Here is a 19,856-nt window from a genome sequence, read left to right as displayed (position 1 = left end):
GGCCTCCTGGGATCTGGACCATTATGTGCTTTTTATTTTTGCAATTTAAGCTTTCAGTTTCCTCCTGTTATGACATTTTCCTTTGGTTAACACTATTTTTCCCCAGATTTTGTTCTTATAAGTCCAAATCCAACACCATCAATCAATATTTTCTGAGCTCCAAATTGGAGCATCACAGAATATGAATATGTGAGAAGGGATAAGAGCATATGCTGACCTTGCACATCTCTGAAAAATTAAGTGTGAATTTTTTTAATAAAAATATATATTTTTTACTTCTAAAAAATTAGAGATGGGGGGTCTCACTATGTTGCCCAGGCTGGTCTCAAACTCCTGGGTTTAAGTAATCCTCCTGCCTCAGCCTCCCAAAGTGCTGCTGGGAATACAGGCGTGAGCCACTGGGCATGGCCATAAATGTGAATTTATAGAATAAATCGCATGAAGGGAACCATGTAATAAAATGTGTGTAATTCAGTATGTGTTAGGACTTCCACCTCTCGCCCATGTCCAGTGCTGGGGATGCAAAGTGGAAGCTCACATGGCGAAAATCAACAAACACACACACACACTGACACGCACAGACACACACACACAGAGACACACAGACACACACAGAGACACACATGCAGACACACACACCCAGAGACGCACACACATTCACACACACACACCCAGAGACACACACACACACACACAGACATACCCAGAGACACACACACACACACCCAGAGACACAGACACACAGAGAGAGAGACACACACAGAGACAGATACACAAAGACACATGCACAAAGACACACACACAGACACACACACACACACACACCCAGAGAGTTTATTTTAAAAGTAAGTTTGGTTTTCCATCTATTCGGAGTTTATAAAGCAGGACACACCCTCATAAGTTTAAAGTAACAAACATGTGGCCAGCACAGTGGCTCACGTCTGTAATCCCAGCACTTTGGGAGACTGAGGTGGGAGGATTGCTTGAGCCCAGGAGTTCAAGACCAGCATGGGCAACGTGGTGAAACCCTGTCTCTACAAAAAAAATTTAAAATTAGCTGGGTGTGGTGGCACACACCTGTAGTCCCAGCTACTCCAGAGGCTGAGGTGGGAGGATGGCTTGAGGCTGGGAGGTTGAGGCTGCAGTGAGCCGAGATCCCACCACTGCACTCCAGCCTGGGTGACAGAGTGTGACTCTGACTCAAAAGAGAAAAAGAAAGTAACAAACACAACAGCCTGAGAAGCACGTGGAAGAAAGAGACCACGGATGGTCTACACAGCTGGAAATCAACTTCCCTGCAAGAGTTAAACCCACTCTGCCAAGCGGCATGCAGAGGAGTGGGACTACACAGCAACACAATCCGACAGGAACCACAGAGGCTGTCACACTAAATGACGACCTGGCTGCGCTCCGCATCACTAGATAATTATGAACAGGGCTGTAAAACTCACTGACAGAAAAGGCCGTCACACAAAGTGAAAAATGGTTAGGAAACTGCACGATAGTATAATCCCCTCTTTTTAGAAAACATTTGAAAGGATAGATGACAAAATGTCAGCAAGTTACCTCTAGTCGGGGGAACTGTGCCGACTGTGTCTGTTTTAACTGCTCCAATCCCCACACTGTCAATACCCAGCATGTATGACTTCTTCCCTTGGTAGGGGAAAAGGAGGTCAGACATGAGGGGAGGGAGGAAGCAAAAAGCAAATGCTTCTCCCCAAGACCTGCAGCTCTGCCCCACCCGGCTCCCCTGCCCGCCGGCTTCCAGCTGCCATTCCCTGCAATTTGGTTCCCATCCTTCATGCCTGGGGGGTGGTCACAGTGCTACCACCTTGTCACAGCCACTCGACCACCTGCCTGACCCATAGTTTTGTCACCGGAAACTGACCTTGACCGCGGGTATTGGTGGCTTTAGGCACTGCAGCTCACACCTCACACTTACTAACTACTGGAGAAGCCCCGAATCCTTTTCTCCTGCCTCATTAAGAAGCCCACTGCGTGGGTGGGGCTGGCACCTGGCATTCGCAGTGGCTACTCACTCAAGGGATGAGTCCGCTGAGGGGTTGGACGACGAGGCTTTGTGGTGGCCACGGTGCGACCCTCCCTTTCCTGGAGCACAGGCTTTGGGGGGGAAAGGCTGGGTGCCCCTGGACTCTGGGCACCCACTCCTGTTGCCAAAATCTTATGACGCTTGAGCCTTCTGTGGCTTCCCACTGTGTTCTAAATACCAAACCTGTAAAGCGGCTTATAAAAAACCCACACACCTGCTTGAGAGCCTCCACCTGCGCACTCCACCGTCCCTCCTGCTCTCCAGGGGCGCTTCCCCCTGAGGGTCTTTCCTGGACTCCACTGCCCTCCTTCTCAGGCCTCAGACCAGGCCCCTGCGATGCTCCCAAAGCCTCAGCTGTCCGTCCTCACACTCACTGTGGCGCTCAGCCTCATCCCAGGAACCTGACTGCCTGTCTCCCCAGGCGAAGGCTTCATGAGCAAAGCCACTGCAGCATCGCACGGTGTATCTCTGAGCACAGCTGACTTGACAGAAGGACTCAACTGTCCACATTACCGAAGACTGAGGTATACGGAATGGTTTCTGTTTTGCTTCTTCAAGGAGGGGAACTGAAACCCAACTAAATCCAAGGTGCCTCTTCCAACGCCTGTAACTAAACTTCAAGCATCACAGCCCCAACACCTGCTGATGGCACCATTTTAACTGAGGTCCATCCCGCAAGCTTCCCGACTGTCCACACTGGCTCTCTCTACTCCTGTGCACCAAAGAAACAAGCCAGAATAAATGGATAAAAGACAGTGTATGCGCATGCCTGTCCCAGCTACCCAGGAGGCTGAGGCATGAGAACCGCTTGAACCCGGGAGGCAGAGGTTGCAGTGAGCCGAGACGGCGCCACTGCACTCCAGCCTGGGAGACAGAGCGAGACTCTAAAAAATAAATAAATAAATTAAATAAATAAATAAATAAAATTAAAAAGATAGTGTAGGCTACAAACCTCAGGAAGAAAATACCAGCATGACTTCAGAATAGTCAGACCTAATGGTGTATAAAGTTCTCCCGGCTCCTCTCCACCCACCTCCATCAATCCCACCCTATCTCTAACCCCCAAGTTCTCTGTTCCTCGAGGTTCCCATAGAACATTTAATAAACACTAGGGACATGAGAGAGCAGCGACATGGCCCTCGCCCTCGTGGCAATTAGTCTAGGAAGGGAAAGTCGCTATCGCAAATTTGCCATGCTGACTAGGGCTGAAGGCAATCTTGTAATGTCTGTAGTCGGACATCCAACTCAAGGTAAAAAGCAGAGTGAACTCTAAAGGAACTAAAGCATTAACTGGTAGGACCGACTTCAGGAGAGGGAAGGGGGAGTTCTGGAAAGCAGCATGCACACAGATCTCAAGATGCACGTGTGACCAGAGCCTGCAAGACCTTGTAGGAAATGTGGAGCAGGCGAGATGCATCAGATGTTTTTTGAATAGGACTCTGACCCCTTAACTAAAGATAAGGTTTCCATGGTTAGGTGCCGTTTCTCCCCACCATGCCCTCGGCTTCAAGGGTAAAAGGTGCTGCAAGGAGTTAGGATAGGTGCTGTCCTAGTACAGGGTCTGCCTCATACAGGGAAAGCTTAGTCTCACGTAATCTTGCTGGGCAGGATAGCCCTGTACAGCCCGAGTGGCAGAAAACATCATACACGATGTCCGTCAGTTTGCTGGCAAGAAAAGCTGAATCCAACCCTCATCCCATTTGCTCAGCAGGTAATTTTTTGTGTTTCTGATCTGTTTTTGCAAAAGAAACCAGAAATTCTCTGTACTTGAGTTCCTTCAGGTGAACAGTTAGCCAGGAAACCAGTCCTCTTTGGAGGCTATTTTGGAGTCTCATCTTTTCTAGACATTTTATGATTGATACAATTTTTTAAAAAATCCCATTCTATGTGGTTTTTTAAAAAAACTGGCTCTCACACAAATTGAAACTACTAATTTACCAGTTTCACATTATATCCACACAAGACCTATGCACTAACTATGCTTTTTCTTAATGACTTTGCTCTAATAAGCTATTACTGGTTTGCAGTAACTTCATATAAAGCTTTCAAGGCTTCCCCCATTAGACACGAGATTTCAAAAAATGGAGAGCAGACTTTTCCCATTTGTACAATCTGGAGAGAACTGACCCCTTCCCCGCCGCCCCCCCAAAAGATAATAATCTCTGCTAACTCTTCAGCATTTCCTAAAGCAAATACTAGAGATGATTCAAAAAATCCAGGCAAAGTAGAAGCAATATATTTTGCAACAATTATTCTTTCAATAAAGGACTTGTAAATTCTCTCCCACACCACGTTAGACAGGTAAGTGACGTCACTTCCAAATTTCAACTGTTACATAGAAGATCCAGAATGTCAACACCACTTGCAATCTCCACAAGGTTACAAACAACACATACACCTTCAATTCAAAATACCTGAATGAAAGGTTTCATCCCAATTATGGGGAAAAAACTTCCCATCTCACAGGCTGGTTAGAAACTGGTTCTGAATACAGCGTAACATACACAGCAATTCAGATCTTAAGAAACTCAACTGTTGCCAGTTAATACAGTAAGTAGAACTTTATTCAGCTTCACCCTTATTTCATTTTTCCATATATTTAAGTGATCCTTTCTATACCTTTTAAGGTAAGCAATCATCTCAAGATTATCAGACATCTAAAGAAAACTTTGGTAAACTGGACTATAGTAATCGTATGAGAAAAAAATAGCTCAAGATTCCTAACTGCTACAAGAATAGTGTTGATGGGATCAAACTCCTAATTATCCTAATAGACCTAATTCATTTTTAAATGTGGAAAATATGCAAGATAAATTAAATGCTTAGTTAAAAAAAAAAAAAAGTTTCACCAACTGTTCTCCATTACTGAGAAGCCCCCACACTGCCCCACTGTGCATATTCCTAGTATTTCATCCATGTCCTGCTCTGCTGTGCTGCCCTACAAAAAAACCCTCCCGGGGGGGAAAAAAAAACAAAAAAACGGTGTAGTGTGAACTGCTGAAGAACTTAAATGTTCAAGACATCTTTAAAGTCTAGGAGTACCTGAAAACTGTGGGTAAACATGGACCATTTTCCTTGCGTATCAACTTCACACTAAGCATCTAACATTCAAACAAAAAAGTGCAAAATTTGTAATTATTTTTAACAGCAAGAATTCCCAACCTCCTGCCATCCACTGATGTTCCATCCTGTTTGAGGTTCTACATTAAAACATGATTACTTTTGCCATAAAAGAAAATATTACCCTTAAAATATCTATTTGATATGTACAAACCACATTTTTATTCTGACAGGTCACAGATTTTGAGCAAGTGCTTCCCTAGGTGACCCTACCTAGCCAATATGAAGGTGGAGCAAACACTGCTTTAGCTTAACTGCACTAATATTTACACCATGTAACCCTTCTAACCAAATAGAATACTGCTGACCTGTCATCATCAGTTTGTGTGACATGGCTCAAATGTACAAAAATAAACATAGGGAGAAATTAACCCAATAGATTTCAAATTAAGTGATAAAAGCAAGGCAATTCAAATATTAACATGGCATAAAACTTCCCTACTTTAGTGGTTTCCAAATGCTATTTATAAACAAGGGATGAGTTCACTTGCTTAGATATTTGAAATACAACTTTATTCTGATTCTAAACGAAAAGGAATGGGAATGACAGTAACAAACAAGATTTCACCACTGAATATTGTGATGTGACTGCAGCAGTCTTATATATGAAACTCAAGGAATCAACTGCGTTCCAAAACAGCTAAATATGCAGGTCCAAACAATGAAGTTATTTTTTAAACTGCCACATTCACTCCGAAGCCCACTCATCTCCTTCAGCATCCCACAGATGAAGCACATGTTCCGCTTAGCTAGATAATAATGAGGTGGCACACACGCTGCACCGCTGACATCACAGGACAGCTGCCTATAAAACTAGACTTCTGACGCTGGGCTCCAGCTTCATTCTCACAGGTCATCATCCTCATCCGGGAGAGCAGTTGTCTGAGCAACCTAGACGAAGAGATGGAAAAACGTTAACACTCCAGATCAAAACTGCCAGGAATAAACAAGCCAAACCGAACAATCTGAACAGCAAAGTGGCCACAATACCTCTAAGTCGTGCTCATACTGTGCTGCCAAAGCTGGGTCCATGACAACTTCTGGTGGGGCGAGAGCAGGCATGGCAACAAATTCCAAGTTAGGGTCTCCAATGAGCTTCCTAGCAAGCCAGAGGAAGGGCTTTTCAAAGTTGTAGTTACTTTTGGCAGAAATGTCGTAGTACTGTTTAAAAGAAAGGTAAAATTACTTTTTAAAATTCATTATTAAGATGACGATTTTTCTAGGACATTGCAAGATAAGAAAATGTTAAGATTCTTGGCAAGGCATGGTGGCTCATGCCTGTAATCCCAGCACTTTCGGGGGCTGAGGTGGGATTGCCTGAGGCCAATAGTACACGATCAGGCCTGGGCAACAGAGCAAGACCCCAACTCCACAAAAAAACAAATTAGGTGGGCATGGTGGTGAGTGCCTGTGAGCCCAGCTACTCAGAAGGCTGAGGTGGGAGGATTGCTTGAGCCCAGGAGTTCAGGGCTACAGTGAGCTATGTTCATGCCACTGCACTCCTGCCTGGGCAACAGAGCAAGACCCTGTCTCGAACAACAAATATATAAATACACAAACATTTCAGCTGACCAACCGGGCCAACAGTGAAACCCAATCTCTATCATTCTTTAAAAACAGTAGTATAAAAAAGACAAAATTATTTCCGGCCGGGCACAGTGGCTCATGCCTGTAATCCCAGCCCTTTAGGAGGCCAAGGCAAGTGGATCACTTGAGGTCAGGAGTTGGAGATCAGCCTGACCAACATGGTGGAAACCCCGTCTCTACTAGAAAAAAAAGTACAAAAATTAGCCAGGCGTGGTGGTACACACCTGTAATCCAGCTACTAGGGGAGCTGAGACAAAACTGCTTGAACCCGGGAGGCGGAGGTCGCAGTGAGCCAAGATTGCGACACTGCACTCCAGCATGGGGGACAGAGGAAGACTCCGTCTTGGGGAAAAAAAAATCATTTCCATATATAATAGACACTGGTTAATTTCATGGTCTTACATATAATCTCCGCTAAGAGAAATAACTCAGGAAGTTTTAATTTTACACACCTGAAGATTCTTCTTTCGGTGGAAGACAATGGATTTCGCCTTCACTTTCCTGTCCTTAATATCCACTTTGTTGCCACACAACACAATGGGGATGTTTTCACACACTCGTACCAGATCTCTATGCCAGTTAGGCACATTCTTGTAAGTAACTCTCGATGTTACATCAAACATTATGATGGCACACTGGGCTGAAGAAACATTTGTGGGAATTAGTACACTCAGTTTACTGCACAAGTGAAGAATGCTAAGAACCAGAGACTAGGATTCAACTAGTTATAGTCTTAGACCTCAACGAGTCACCTGTATCTCTCCCCTCACTTTCAAGGTCTCTGTCAATTCTAAAAATGTTAATACACAATTCCTCCTAAGAGAGATGAGCTGACCCTATCAAATCTCCCTGATATACTTCACCATTAATACTCCCCTCATCCCAAAAAAGTATCTGAAGTAATTAATGCTAAATGAGATTCTGGATAACCAAGCTGCCATATTCTGAGGGTAGGGCCTGGAAACACATTCTTCAGAAGGTCTTTAAATGGCTGGCTATACTGGAAAACATTATTCCTGTCTTAAAAAATCCAGATAGGCCAAGCAATGTGGCTCACGTCTGTAATCCCAGCACTTTGAGAGGCTGAGGTGGGTGGATCACCTGAGCTCATGAGTTCCAGACCAGCATGGGCAACATGGTGAATCCCCATCTCTACAAAAAAATACAAAAATTAGTCAGGCATAGTGGCACGTGCCTATAGTCCAAGCTACTCAGGATGCTGAGGTAAGAGGATGGCTTGAGCTTAGGAGGCGGAAGCTGCACTCCAGGTTGGGCAACAGAGCGAAACCCTGTCTCAAAAAAAAATTAAATAAATAAATAACCCAGATAAAGCCTATATATTCACCTGCAGGAATAACTATGGTACAGTTAGCAAGGCAAGAAACCACAACTTTTTGGTTAAAGGATTCTTTTGGGGGAAATTCTTGTGTTTATTTGTACATGCTCAAGGAAAGCAAAAGGCATGGAATGATTCCAGATAATGTGTTATCGGCAACGTGAGGTTCCAAGAGAGATGAGTATTTTCTTGATTCCTCTTTTTGGTACAATGAACATTTTCCTTGCAATTTTTAAATCAAACTATTTGAGAAAAATACTCTGCACAACTTAGTACAAACAATTTAACAAGAAATCAGCTAGTCTTGTATAACACTTGTTAAGATCTCCTATCTCCTCTGGTCTAGTATCTGGTGTTTATTGTTTTCTAATACAGTAAAAACATTCATTGATCACCACACCAAAATACATACATGAACCTAAGTTTCCAAATACTGAAACTGCTGTTAACAGCCTATTATTGTTTTAAATATGACTTATAAGTCCCAGTGTAAGTCATAGTTTTTTCTAAAGCATGCCTAGCATGACACAGCATGCAAATGACACAACTTTAATAAAATTTTCTCTGCCACCAAAATGGTGGTCAACTCCCCGAAGTCCACTTGTCTTTTTTTAACCCAAAAATGACACTATTTGTTGGAACAGACCTGATTTTCTATAACCTTGAAGACTGAAGTACACAAAACCTCTCAAAAACCGTTCAGCAAGTTACAAATGCCTACCTTGGATATAATAGCCATCTCTCAGTCCACCGAATTTCTCCTGGCCGGCTGTGTCCCATACATTGAACTTAATAGGTCCTCTGTTGGTGTGGAACACTAGGGGATGAACCTCAACACCCAAGGTGGCTGAAACGGAAACGATGCGATTGAGTGGATGAACTTACCCATTTCTCACATATTTCCACAAGCAAGGTTTTCCAGCACATACCTACATACTTCTTCTCAAATTCACCAGTCAAATGACGTTTCACGAAGGTCGTTTTTCCAGTACCACCATCACCAACCAATACAAGCTGTTGAAAAACACATTTTGGAAGTAAACCCTAAACACTTCACCTCTCAAGATCCCAGAGTCACGGAACTTTAACCACCACAGGCTCACTTAAAACAAAGAATGTGGATGCGGGGCCCCATTACAGCCATCGTGGCCCCAGGAGGAGGGACCCGCGAGTCGCACGCGGTCGGGCTCGGCCGCCTCCCGCCCCGCAGGGTTACCTACTTTGAACTGGACCTGGGGCTCTCCCTGCGCAGCCATCGCGGCGTTCCTGCGGAGGCAGAGGACGGAGGCGAGCGCTCGCGCGGCCCCGCAGCCCATGGCGGCCCCGCTCCCGCGCCCCCAGCGCCCCACGTGCCCGCCCCACAAAGGCCTCCCGCCCGCGGCGCCATGGCGGCCAGGCCTGGGAGCGGGAAGGCGGCGGGCGGGGCCGGCATCCGGGGCGGCGGGGCCCGGGGAACGGCGGCCGGAGGTGTAGGGATGGGAACGGGACTGGGACCGGGACGGGGATGAGAGCGGAGGATGAAACGGGGGTTCGCGGGGGCTAGCGCCGACCCCACGCCCGTCTCCTGCCCCGGCCCGGCCGGGCCCGCACCACCCACCTACTCAGCCGCCCGCTGCCCCTGGGTCCGCCACCCGCCCCGGCCCTGGCCCCGGCTCCGACCCCTATCCCGCCGCCGCCACCCCTGTCCCCGCCCGGCCGTGCCGGGCCCGCCGGGTCGCGATACCTTCCAGAAGCGTCTCCGCGCCCGTCCGACTGAGGCTGGAAAGATGGCGGAAGCGCAATTCAAACGCCGGAGACGCAGCCGACGCCGGCGCGAGAGCAGGGGCGGGGCCGGCGCGGGGCGGGGTTGCAAGGGGCGGGGCAACGGCGCGGCGCCCGCCCACGTGGCCCGCGCGTGCGCGCACGCACGCAACGCGGTTCGGTCGGCCGCTCGGGCGGTCGCTGCGCTTAGGGTGGGGCGGGAGGCGCGGTGGACCGCGTGGGAGGGCGAGCCGGGAGCGCGTACGCAAGCCGGCCGGTGGGGACCGCGTGCGCCGACGCCCCGGGCGGGCTCCCGGGCGCGCATGCGCTGAAAGCGAGGCGGCGCGCCCCTGAGCGGGAGACGTTGGGCGCGGCCCGACGGTCGCGGCTCTCCTGCCTCCCGGGTGGGAGGCGGTACTCGCTCGGGCAGACGTGGTCAGGCACGCGGCTTCCAGGCGCTGGCCAGCCTGTCCTTGTCTGTGCCCCGTGGGGTGGGGGTTCTTGAGGTCCTGGGGCTTAGGGTGGCTCGCGTGCGCGCAGGACGGGTGGGTGACAGAACGAATGAATGAATGAATGGGGTCTAGGCCCGTCCTCCAGAGGCAGCCCGCTGTTCTGTCTCTCCAGATCGTAGCCTTCACGCCCCCAGGACCAGGGCCAGTTGGAGAGCGAGGAACCAGAGAGGGATGCACCCACCCAGAAAAACGGCTACTTATTTTTTTTAAGAGACGGAGTCTCGCTACGTTGCCCAGGCTGGTCTCGAACTCTCAGGCTCGGGCGATCCTCCCGCCTCAGCCTCCCGAGTAGCTGGGACTACAGGCGCGCACCACATCAGGGGTAATTTTTTAAAAATTTTTTTGAGAGACAGAATCTAACTATGTCTCCCAGGCTGGCCTCAGGGGATCCACCCGCCTCGGCCTCCCAAAGCGTCCGGCTTCTCAAAGCGTTTCATAGGTTGGCAGCTTTGGCCGCTGCATGCTACAGACAAAATGATGAAATACTGTTTGCAGTCTGGACGCGTCTACCAGCCCTAGTTACCAACGGGGACGGAATGAGTAAGTGCTCAGCTTCCCAGCCCCCTGTTGGCCTGAAGCTGTAAGAGCCCAAACAAGCTTGAGCTAGAGGGACCCGACTTCCTGGGCGCCCCTGCCGACATGCAGACAGATAAAGGCCCAAATCAGCGCAGTCAAGCGCCTCAGAAGAGTCCACCATGGGGAGAGAGCCGCAGTGACCGAAGAGTCCTCCCTGCAGTCCTGAGCACACTTGCAGGCGAGTCCGCTAGGAACCCCAGTGACGCAAATTAGGCACAAAGCAGGCGACAACCGGCCTGCTGGGAACGCAAGTCCGAGCTCCCCCAGAACCCTCAGGGGAACCCCAAGCACCTCTCAGACGCTGCTGGCGGGAGAGCAGAATCTAACAGTAAAACGGGAATGCCCATTGCTTGTGACCCCGGATTTCCATTTCTAGGGAGAGGCCCCAGAGTTAAACTCATGCCTCACGCATGTGCACAACATTTAATACTGTATAACATTTAAAAGGAATGACGGTCATCTGTTTCAACAGGGTTAGATAGATGTCAAAAGGATAGTGTTGAGAAAAGAAGAAAGAGGTGATAACAGCTTTATAAAGTCTAGGCCACCTGTAATCCCAGCACTTTGGGAGTCCGAGGTAGGAGGATCCCTTAAACCCAGGAGTTACAGGCTGCAATGGGCAATGATCTCACCATTGCACTCCAGCCTGGGAGACAGAGCAAGACCCTGTTTTCAAAAATTAATACATAAAACCTAACACTATATGTAACTTTATCTAGAGGGATTATATATATAGTATAATGTCATTTATGTATATTTTTTACAAATACACATAAAACAAAAGCATATTGGCTATTGGATATATGTATTTTGTTGTTTTTTTTAATTGACTGCAAGGATCTATATACCATATCCTGATGGTTATTGCTTCAAGAAAGGGTAGAAAGGAGTGTGATGGAACTGAGAAGAGGAGTCAAAGAAGACTTTAACTTTACCTGCAATGTTCTATTTCCTTTTTTTTTTTTTTTTGAGACAGCCTCACTCTCGCTCAGGCTGGAGTGCAGTGGTGCGATCTCGGCTCATTGCAACTTCCGCCTCCCAGGTTCAAGTGATTCTCCTGCCTCAGCCTCCTGAGTAGCTGGGATTACAGGCATGCGCCACAACACCCAGCTATTTTTTTTATTTTTATCTTATTTTTATTTTTAGTAGAAACAGGGTTTCATTATATTGGAATAGGTAATCGAGTGGTCACTTTGGCAGCACGTATACCAAAATTGGAATGATACGGAGAAGATTAGCATGGCCCCTGCGCAAGGATGACAATTTTTTTTCTTCTTCTTTTTTTTTTTTTTTTTTTTTTGAGACAGATTCTCGCTCTTGTCACCCAGGAACTGCGGAGAGAGGTCATAGAAGAGTTTAACCTTACCTGCAATGTTCCATTTCTTTTTTAAAAAATGGTAATCAGGGCCGGGCACGGTGGCTCACGCCTGTAATCCCAGCACTTTGGGAGGCCAAGGCGGGCAGATCACGAGGTCAGGAGATCGAGACCATCCTGGCTAAACCGGTGAAACCCCGTCTCTACTAAAAATACAAAAAATTAGCTGGGCGTGGTGGCGGGTGCCTGTAGTCCCAGCTACTCGGGAGGCTGAGGCAGGAGAATGGCGTGAACCCGGGAGGTGGAGCTTACAGTGAGCAGAGATCGCACCACTGCACTCCAGCGTGGGCGACAGAGCAAAACTCCATCTAATCAGGCTGGGTGCAGTGACTCACGCCTGTAATCCGAGCACTTTGGGAGGCCAAGGCAGATGGATCACTTGAGCTCAGGAGTTTAGGACCAGCCTGGGCAACATGGTGAAACCCATGTCTCTAAAAAAAAAACAAGAAAGAAAATTAATTTTAAAAATGGTAATCAAAGCAAGGTGACAATATATTAACCATTTGTATAATTCTGGGTGATGAGAACATCAGTGTTTATACCTTTTGGCGTTTTTTCCCCTACAAGAATCCAGTCGAGGATTGCATGTTACGCTTTTAACTTGTTTCTCAGGCCTCCTTAGTCTCTAGTTTTTTTTTTAGAGACAGGGTCTCTGTCACACAGGCTGGAGCATAGTGGCTTACTGCAGCCTGGAACTCCTGGGCTCAAGTGATCCTCCCACCTCAGCCTGCTTAGTAGCTGGGACTACAGGCATGTGCCACCAGGCCCAGCTAATTTTTTATTTATTTTATTGTAGCAATGGGGTCTCACTATGTTGCCCCAGCTGATCTCACCTATATACCTATATGTGATTTTATAAAGACGTAATTAGGTGTGTGTGTATATATATGACTTTTTTTCTCTGAAATGTTTGAGGTAAGTGGCAAACAGGATGCCCTTTGATGTGCAGTTCTTAAAACCAAGGACATTCTGTTACATAACCACTGTACACTTATCAAAATCAGGCAGTTAACATTGCTCTAATTTGATTATCTAATCTCGACCCTTAACTGTCAGATGTCTCACTAACACCATTTGCCTGGTTTAGGATCCAGTCCGGGATTGCATGGAACGTTTGCTTGTCAGCCTCCTTAGTCTATTTCCATCTACAAGTCCTTCAGCCTTTCTTTATCTTTCATGACCTTGACACTTTTTGCAGAGTTTTTTTTTGGTTTTTTTGAGACAGAATCTCTCTCTGTTGCCAGGCTGGAGTGCACTGGCATGATCTTGGCTCACTGCAATCTCCACCTCCCGAGTTCTGGCATTCTCCTGCTTCAGCCTCCTGAGTAGCTGGGACTACAGGCGCACGCCACCATACCCACCTAATTTTTGAATTTTTAGTAGAGGCGGGGTTTCACGATGTACCATGTTGGTCAGGATGGTCTCGGTCTCTTGACCTCGTGATCTGCCTGCCTCGGCCTCCCAAAGCGCTGGGATTATAGGCATGAGCCACCGCGCCCGGCTGAGTATTTTTTTTCCCCCAAGACAGAGTCTTGCTCTGTCGCCCAGGTTGGAGTGCAGTGGTGCGATCTCAGCTCACTGCAACCTCTGCCTCCCGGGTTCAAGTGATTCTCCTGCTTCAGCCTCCTGTGTAGCTGGGATTACAGGTGCCTGCTACCACACCTGGCTAATTTTTGTATTTTTTGTAGAGATGGGTTTTCACCATGTTAGCCAGGCTGGTCTCAAACTCCTGACCTCAGGGGATCCACCCACCTGGGCCCCCTAAAGTGCTGGGATTACAGGCGTGAGCCACCACGCCTGGCCTTGCAGAGTATTTTAGAGGCCAGGTATTTTGTAGACTGTCCTTTCATTTGGATTTCTCTGATACTAGCTCATGATTAGATACAGGTTATGCAGTTTGGGTAGGAAAACCACAAAAGTGATGTTGTGTCCTTCTTAGTGTCTCAGATCAGGAGGCACAGGGTGGATTTTGTTTTGTAGTGACAGGGTATTTCTCTGTCACCAGGGTTGGAGTGCAGTGGCGAGATCATGACTCACTGCAACCTTGAGCTCCTGGGGTCAAATGATCCACTCACCTCAGCCCCCCGAGTAGCTGGGAATACAGGCAGGCACCACCACACCCAGCAATTTATTTTCTTTTTTGTAGAGATGGGGTCTTGCTACATTGCCCAGGCTTATCTCAAACTTCTGGCCACAAACAATTTTCCTGCCTTAACTTCTCAAAGTATTGAGATAACAGGCATGAGCCACTGCATGTGACCCAGAGTGATCTTTTAAAACCATATCAGAGGCAGGGTGTGGTGGCTCACACCTGTAATCCCAGCACTTTGGGAGGCCGAGGTTGGCGGATCATGAGGTCAGGAGATCAAGACCATCCTGGCTAACATGGTGAAACCCCGTCTCTACTAAAAATACAAAAAATTAGCCGGGCATGGTGGTGGGTGACTGTAGTCCCAGTTACTCGGGAGGCTGAGGCAGGAGAATGGCGTGAACCCGGGAGGCGAAGCTTGCAGTGAGCCGAGATTGCGCCACTACACTCCAGCCTGGGTGACAGAGCGAGACTCTGTCAAAAAAAAAAAAAATCAGATCATCCTCCTCCACTGGTAAAACCTGCAGTAGTTTTCTATCTGTCTCACTTAGATCCATGAAATCTGTAGCCAGGGAGGTACTATGGGCTCTAGCTCATGCCTACCTCTCCCACCTCGTCTCCTGCCTCTCTCCCTGTAACCTCACAAGACTTTCTGTATCTTACCCCAGCCAAATTTATTCCTGCCACAGGGCCTTTGCACTTACTGGTCCCTCTGTTTAAAAGTATCTTCCCTTGGCTGGGCACGGTGGCTCATGCCTGTAATGCCAGCACTTTGGGAGGCCAAGGCGGGCAGATCACTTGAGGTTAGGAGTTCAAACCAGCCTGGCCAATATGGTGAAACCCCGTCTCTACTAAAAATACAAAAATTAGCCACGTGTAGTGGCACATGCCTGTAATCCCAGCTACTTGGGAGGCTGAGGCAGGAGAATCATTTCAGCCTGAGAGTTGGAGGCTGCAGTGAGCCATAATCGAGCCACTGCCCTCCAGCCTGGGCAACAAAGCAAGACCCTGTCTCAAATAAACAAATAAACAAGATGCTCTTCTCCACATATCTTAGCCTGGCTGGCTCCTTCTCACCTTTCAGTCCCCTGACCACCCCTAGGCTTTCTCCACTTCAGCACCCACTTTCTTTTCTTCAGAGCACATTATTGAGAACATATTGCTTAATTATTTACGTGCTCGTTTTTCAATCTTTCTTTTCTTCACTAAAATAAGTGGCATACCATGTCATGACATTCAAAGTATCTAGCGCAGAGCCTGTCACATAACGTATGCTTAAACAATATTTATTGAAATATTGAATAAATTACTCTTTTTTTGTTTTGTTTTTTAGAGACACAGTCTTGCTCTGTTGCCCGGGCTGGAGTACAGTGGCATGATCATAGCTCACTGCAGCCTCGAACTCCTGGGCTCAAATGAACCTCTTCTCTTAGCTTCCCAAGTAGCTTGGATTACAGGTGTGTGCCTTCTAGGTGAATGAATGACTCTTGACCCCTTCTGAATACAGAAAGAGGAATGAGACACAGCAGCATTATATTCTAATGAAAATAATAGGCCAGGCATGGTGGCTCACGCCTGTAATCCTAGCACTTTGGGAGGCTGAGGCAGGTGGACTACCTGAGGCCAGAGGTTCGAGACCAGCCTGGCCAACAAGGCGAAACCCCATCTCTACCAAAAATACAAAAAATTAGCCAGGCATGGTGGCGGGTGCCTGTAATCCCAGTTACTCGGGAGGCTGAGGCAGGAGAATTGCTTGAACCCATGAGACACCCGGGAGGCGGAGGTTGCAGTGAGCTGAGATTGAGCCACTGCACTCCAGCCTCGCAACAGAGCAAGACTCTTATCAAAAAAAAATAATAATAATAATAAATATGCAGGCCTATTGAATGTTAATAATGGTACTTCATGGCAAAGACTAATCTTTGCATACACTGCACTCCAGCCTGGGTGACAGAGCGTGACCCTGACTCAAAATTTTTTTTTAATTTAAAAATAAAGGCTGGACACAGTGGCTTATGCCTGTAATCCCAGCACTTTGGGAGGCTGAGGTGGGAGGATCACTTGAATCCAGGAGGTCAAGACCAGCTTGGGCAACATAGTGAGACCTCGTCTCTATAATTTTTTAAGGTTTTTTTTTGAGATGGAGTCTCGTTCTGTTGCCCAGGCTGGAGTGCAATAGTGCGATCTGGGCTCACTGCAAGCCCTGCCTCCCAGGTTCACGCCATTCTCCTGCCTCAGCCTCCCGTGTAGCTGGGACTACAGGTGCCCACCACCACACCCGGCTAATTTTTTTGTATTTTTAGTAGAGACAGGGTTTCACCGTGTTAGCCAGGATGGTCTCGATCTCCTGACCTCATGATCCGCCCGCCTCAGCCTCCCAAAGTGCTGGGATTACGGGTGTGAGCCACCTTGCCCGGCCCTTAAGGTTTTAATAAAATGTTTAAATAGAATTGTTTAAAATCTTTTAAAATTTTATTTTATCTTTTTTTTTTTTAGACAGAGTCTCACTCTGTCACCCAGGCTGGTGTATAGTGGCATGATCTCAGCTCAGCTCACTGCAACCTCTGCCTCCTGGGTTCAAGCGATTCTCCTGCCTCAGCCTCTGGAATAGTTAGGACTACAGGCATGTGCCACCATGCCTGGCTAATTTTTGTATTTTTAGTAGAGACGGGGTTTCACCATGTTGGCCAGGCTGGTCTTGAACTCCTGACCTCAGGTGATCCACCCACCTCAGCCTCCCAAAGTGCTGGGATTACAGGCATGAGTCACCGTGTCCAGCCTGTATTTTTTTTTTTAATTTAAAAAATAAAAAAAAAATTTAAATAAATATTTAAAAAATAAAAAATAAATAAAGATGAAAATAGTGCTGAGTGTACTCTTTGGTGGCCCATACGAAACAGAACCTTCAAGGGCGTCATCTGACCTGTGCTGGGGTGAGTAACAACATGCTTTCCATCTGAACTCATTGACAGCGTTTTAAGATTGGATGGTTTTATGTCTGGAAATTCTTTGATCCCCCTCCATTGAAAAGGTTGATTCTAATTAATGTCTCCTTGAGTGTGGGCTGGACTTAGCAACTTATTTATAACAAGTGGAATATGTCATAATTGACAGTGTGTTACTTTGGAAAGTAGGTCACAGGGGCTCTGTGGCTAGAATCACTCACTCTGTGTGGACCTGGTCACCGTATTGTGAGGACAAACACAGCCCTATGGACAGGTTCTTGTGACAAAAATCTGAAGTCCACTGCAAAGAGCCCATATAAACCCGCCAGCCAGCCAGGTGCGGTGGCTCATCCCTGTAACCCCAGCACTTTGGGAGGCCAAAGCAGGAGAATTACTTGAACCCAGGAGTTTGAGTCCAGCCAGGGCAACATAGTGAGACCCTGTCTCTACAAAAAATAAAAATAAAAAAATTTAGCTAAGCGTGATGGTCTGCGCCTGTAGTCCCAGCTACTCAGGAGGCTGAGGCCAGAGTATTGCTTGGGCCCAGGACATCAAGGCTGCAGTGAGCTATGATCCTGCCACTGCCCTCCAGCCTGAGCAACAGAGAGAGACCTGGTCTCAAAAAAACAAAGCAAAACACTGGAAAACCTGCCAGCCACATGAGCGCGCCATCCTGAAATAAAATCTTCCAGCGCTGGTCCAGCCTTCAGGTGACTGTAGCCTTAGCTGACATTTTACCTGCAAATTTCATGAGACCTGGATCCAGTTAAGTCACATAGAAACTGTGTGAGATAAAAAGGGTTGATTGTTGTTTCAAGCCATTAACTTTGTTAATGTACTTTGTTAATGTACTGAGTACTTTGTTACACAGTAATAGATAACTAATATGAAAGAAAAGGATATTTCACATAAAATCCAGGTATCTGGATTCCTTTGAAAATCATAATAAGATTGGAAGGCATTGAGCCTCCTTTCTTGTGTGGCTACAACCTTCTGGAGGTATATAGCCACTGCCCCCTACAGACGGGGCAAATGCTGCCAGCTGCCATTGCCCCTAGCCCGCCATTCCCTGTTAAATCTCAGACGCAGGCCTCAAGCCATTTGCCCCTTGTCATCTGGTGCTCAGCCTGTTCTGCATGTTTGCTTACCTGCCTGAGCCCTGAACTGTTTGAGTTGCGAAACTCTACTGAGTCTAAGAGGGATGAAAAATGCACAGATGTATTAGTTCACCCACCTAATATTTATTGAGCATCTGCTGTGTACCAGGCACTCTCCAGGGACTGGGACATTCAGTAAAACAGACAGAAAACGAACCTGAGAATTAAGTAACATCTATGAAATAGTGATAATTACTAAGGTGAAAAATAAAGTAGTTAAAGAAAATACAGGCCGGTCTCACAACTGTAATCCCAGCACTTTGGGAAGCTCAGGTGGGTGGATCACTTGAGGCCAGGAGTTTATGACCAGCCTGGGCTGGTGACACTCCATCTTTACAGTATATACAAAAATTAGCTGGGCATGGTGGTGTGTACCTGTAGTCCTGATTACTCGGGAGGCTGAGACAGGAAAGCTGCTTGAGCCTGCAAGGCAGAGGTTGCAGTGAACTGAGATCCCGCCACTGCACTCTAGCCTGGGTGACAGAGAGTGAGACTCTGTGTAAAAAAGAACATACAGGCCGGGCGCCGTGGCTCACCCCTGTAATCCAGCACTTTGGGAGGCCGAGGCGGGTGGATAATCTGAGGTCAGGAGTTCAAGACCAGCCTGGCCAACATGGTGGAACCCCATCTCTACTAAAAATACAAAAATTACCCAGGTGTGGTGGCGAGCACCTGTAATCCCAGCTACTCAGGAGGCTGAGGCAGGAGAATTGCTTGAATCCAGGAGGCGGAGGTTGCAGTGAGCCGAGATTGCACCACTGCACTCCAGCCTGGGCAACAGAGGGAGACTCCATCTCAAAACAAACAAACAAACAAACAAAAAACATACAGACGGTCGAAGGAAGGAGGTGGTTGTGCAGGTCGGGTGCCCAAGAGACCTTCCCTAAGATGGTAATGTTTGAGCAGAGACCCACAGAAGGTGAAGGAAGGAGCCATGCAGATATTTGGAGGAAGAGAATTCCAGCAAAAGGGAGGGGCAAGTGCAAAGGCCCCAAGGCGGGAGACTGCCTGGAGCTGTCCTGGGACAGCAAGGAACCCAGCTGGCTGAGGCAGGTGAGCACAGGAGAGAAGGAGGAGGGCTCAGCCAGGTGCAGAGAGGCGAACATGCTGGCTTTGTTATTGTGGAAGCTCGGGGTTAGGGTGAGGGCAAGGAGCCTCTGCTGTGGTCTGAATGTTTCCTCCCCCAAAACTCATCTGTTCTGATCCTAACCCTGAAGGTGATGGTATTAGGAGGTGGGGCCTTTGAAAGGTGATTAGGTCAAGAGGGTGGGGCCCTCACGAATAGGATTAGTGCCTTTAACAAAGGGACACCAGGGAGCTCCCTCACCCATTCCACCACCTGAGTTCAAGACCAGCCTGGGCAATATGG

The 19,856-nt window shown here is 47.5% G+C and overlaps 1 protein-coding gene and 1 pseudogene across 3 annotated transcripts, besides 13 other annotated features; one reads left to right on the top strand and one right to left on the bottom strand.

Annotated features, from left to right (window-relative positions):
• Positions 1,183 to 1,272: an enhancer, noted in NCBI's record as "active region_7353". NCBI's record gives its function as "activates an Ori minimal core promoter by ATAC-STARR-seq in GM12878 lymphoblastoid cells {active_cell/tissue: GM12878}" and the evidence as "EXISTENCE:reporter gene assay evidence [ECO:0000049][PMID:35858748]".
• Positions 1,293 to 1,342: an enhancer, noted in NCBI's record as "active region_7352". NCBI's record gives its function as "activates an Ori minimal core promoter by ATAC-STARR-seq in GM12878 lymphoblastoid cells {active_cell/tissue: GM12878}" and the evidence as "EXISTENCE:reporter gene assay evidence [ECO:0000049][PMID:35858748]".
• Positions 2,223 to 2,492: an enhancer, noted in NCBI's record as "active region_7351". NCBI's record gives its function as "activates an Ori minimal core promoter by ATAC-STARR-seq in GM12878 lymphoblastoid cells {active_cell/tissue: GM12878}" and the evidence as "EXISTENCE:reporter gene assay evidence [ECO:0000049][PMID:35858748]".
• Positions 2,513 to 2,732: an enhancer, noted in NCBI's record as "active region_7350". NCBI's record gives its function as "activates an Ori minimal core promoter by ATAC-STARR-seq in GM12878 lymphoblastoid cells {active_cell/tissue: GM12878}" and the evidence as "EXISTENCE:reporter gene assay evidence [ECO:0000049][PMID:35858748]".
• Positions 3,245 to 3,539: a silencer, noted in NCBI's record as "tiled region #1775; HepG2 Repressive non-DNase unmatched - State 14:Gen5', and K562 Repressive DNase unmatched - State 5:Enh". NCBI's record gives its function as "represses a minimal TATA promoter and a strong SV40 promoter by Sharpr-MPRA in HepG2 and K562 cells {active_cell/tissue: HepG2 | K562}" and the evidence as "EXISTENCE:reporter gene assay evidence [ECO:0000049][PMID:27701403]".
• RAN (RAN, member RAS oncogene family) lies at positions 4,265 to 9,877 on the bottom strand. 3 transcript variants are annotated; one of them, NM_006325.5, is made up of 7 exons: positions 9,817 to 9,877; positions 9,314 to 9,359; positions 9,023 to 9,107; positions 8,815 to 8,940; positions 7,210 to 7,397; positions 6,161 to 6,331; positions 4,265 to 6,061 (listed from the first exon to the last, which is right to left on the bottom strand). In NM_006325.5, exons 2-7 carry the CDS (start codon positions 9,347 to 9,349, stop codon positions 6,017 to 6,019), a joined length of 651 nt encoding a protein of 216 aa, NP_006316.1. In that variant the 5' UTR covers positions 9,350 to 9,359; positions 9,817 to 9,877; the 3' UTR covers positions 4,265 to 6,016. The 3 variants fall into 3 exon arrangements, with proteins under 3 accessions (NP_006316.1, NP_001287726.1, NP_001287725.1); NM_001300797.2 differs by lacking the exon at positions 9,314 to 9,359; NM_001300796.2 differs by lacking the exon at positions 9,314 to 9,359 and having other exon boundaries at positions 9,031 to 9,107.
• Positions 8,016 to 8,085: an enhancer, noted in NCBI's record as "active region_7349". NCBI's record gives its function as "activates an Ori minimal core promoter by ATAC-STARR-seq in GM12878 lymphoblastoid cells {active_cell/tissue: GM12878}" and the evidence as "EXISTENCE:reporter gene assay evidence [ECO:0000049][PMID:35858748]".
• Positions 9,314 to 10,075: an enhancer, noted in NCBI's record as "NANOG-H3K27ac-H3K4me1 hESC enhancer chr12:131356413-131357174 (GRCh37/hg19 assembly coordinates)". NCBI's record gives its function as "activates a minimal SCP1, AML or CMV promoter by ChIP-STARR-seq in naive H9 embryonic stem cells {active_cell/tissue: H9 hESC(naive)}" and the evidence as "EXISTENCE:reporter gene assay evidence [ECO:0000049][PMID:30033119]".
• Positions 9,314 to 10,837: a biological region, named in NCBI's record as "NANOG-H3K27ac-H3K4me1 hESC enhancers GRCh37_chr12:131355651-131356412 and GRCh37_chr12:131356413-131357174".
• Positions 9,363 to 9,572: a silencer, noted in NCBI's record as "silent region_5095". NCBI's record gives its function as "represses an Ori minimal core promoter by ATAC-STARR-seq in GM12878 lymphoblastoid cells {active_cell/tissue: GM12878}" and the evidence as "EXISTENCE:reporter gene assay evidence [ECO:0000049][PMID:35858748]".
• Positions 9,623 to 9,762: a silencer, noted in NCBI's record as "silent region_5094". NCBI's record gives its function as "represses an Ori minimal core promoter by ATAC-STARR-seq in GM12878 lymphoblastoid cells {active_cell/tissue: GM12878}" and the evidence as "EXISTENCE:reporter gene assay evidence [ECO:0000049][PMID:35858748]".
• Positions 9,833 to 10,292: a silencer, noted in NCBI's record as "silent region_5093". NCBI's record gives its function as "represses an Ori minimal core promoter by ATAC-STARR-seq in GM12878 lymphoblastoid cells {active_cell/tissue: GM12878}" and the evidence as "EXISTENCE:reporter gene assay evidence [ECO:0000049][PMID:35858748]".
• Positions 10,076 to 10,837: an enhancer, noted in NCBI's record as "NANOG-H3K27ac-H3K4me1 hESC enhancer chr12:131355651-131356412 (GRCh37/hg19 assembly coordinates)". NCBI's record gives its function as "activates a minimal SCP1, AML or CMV promoter by ChIP-STARR-seq in naive H9 embryonic stem cells {active_cell/tissue: H9 hESC(naive)}" and the evidence as "EXISTENCE:reporter gene assay evidence [ECO:0000049][PMID:30033119]".
• Positions 10,573 to 10,652: an enhancer, noted in NCBI's record as "active region_7348". NCBI's record gives its function as "activates an Ori minimal core promoter by ATAC-STARR-seq in GM12878 lymphoblastoid cells {active_cell/tissue: GM12878}" and the evidence as "EXISTENCE:reporter gene assay evidence [ECO:0000049][PMID:35858748]".
• On the top strand, positions 12,106 to 12,183 carry RNU6-1077P (RNA, U6 small nuclear 1077, pseudogene; annotated as a pseudogene).

The sequence above is a fragment of the Homo sapiens genome, chromosome 12 (assembly GCF_000001405.40).
Source record: "Homo sapiens chromosome 12, GRCh38.p14 Primary Assembly".
Classification (NCBI taxonomy): Eukaryota; Metazoa; Chordata; class Mammalia; order Primates; family Hominidae; genus Homo; species Homo sapiens.
The sequence above is the reverse complement of the archived record's forward strand: the minus strand, read 5'-3'. Positions and strand labels throughout refer to the sequence as shown.

Excerpts from the sequence above, each read along its gene's own strand:
- RAN (NM_006325.5), bottom strand. The coding sequence starts at position 9,349 with ATGGCTGCGCAGGGAGAGCCCCAGGTCCAGTTCAAA. Across the intron at positions 9,108-9,313 it reads AGCCCCAGGTCCAGTTCAAA|CTTGTATTGGTTGGTGATGG; the intron begins GTAGGTAACCCT and ends GTTTTTCAACAG. Across the intron at positions 7,398-8,814 it reads AGATGGCTATTATATCCAAG|CCCAGTGTGCCATCATAATG; the intron begins GTAGGCATTTGT and ends ATGTTTCTTCAG.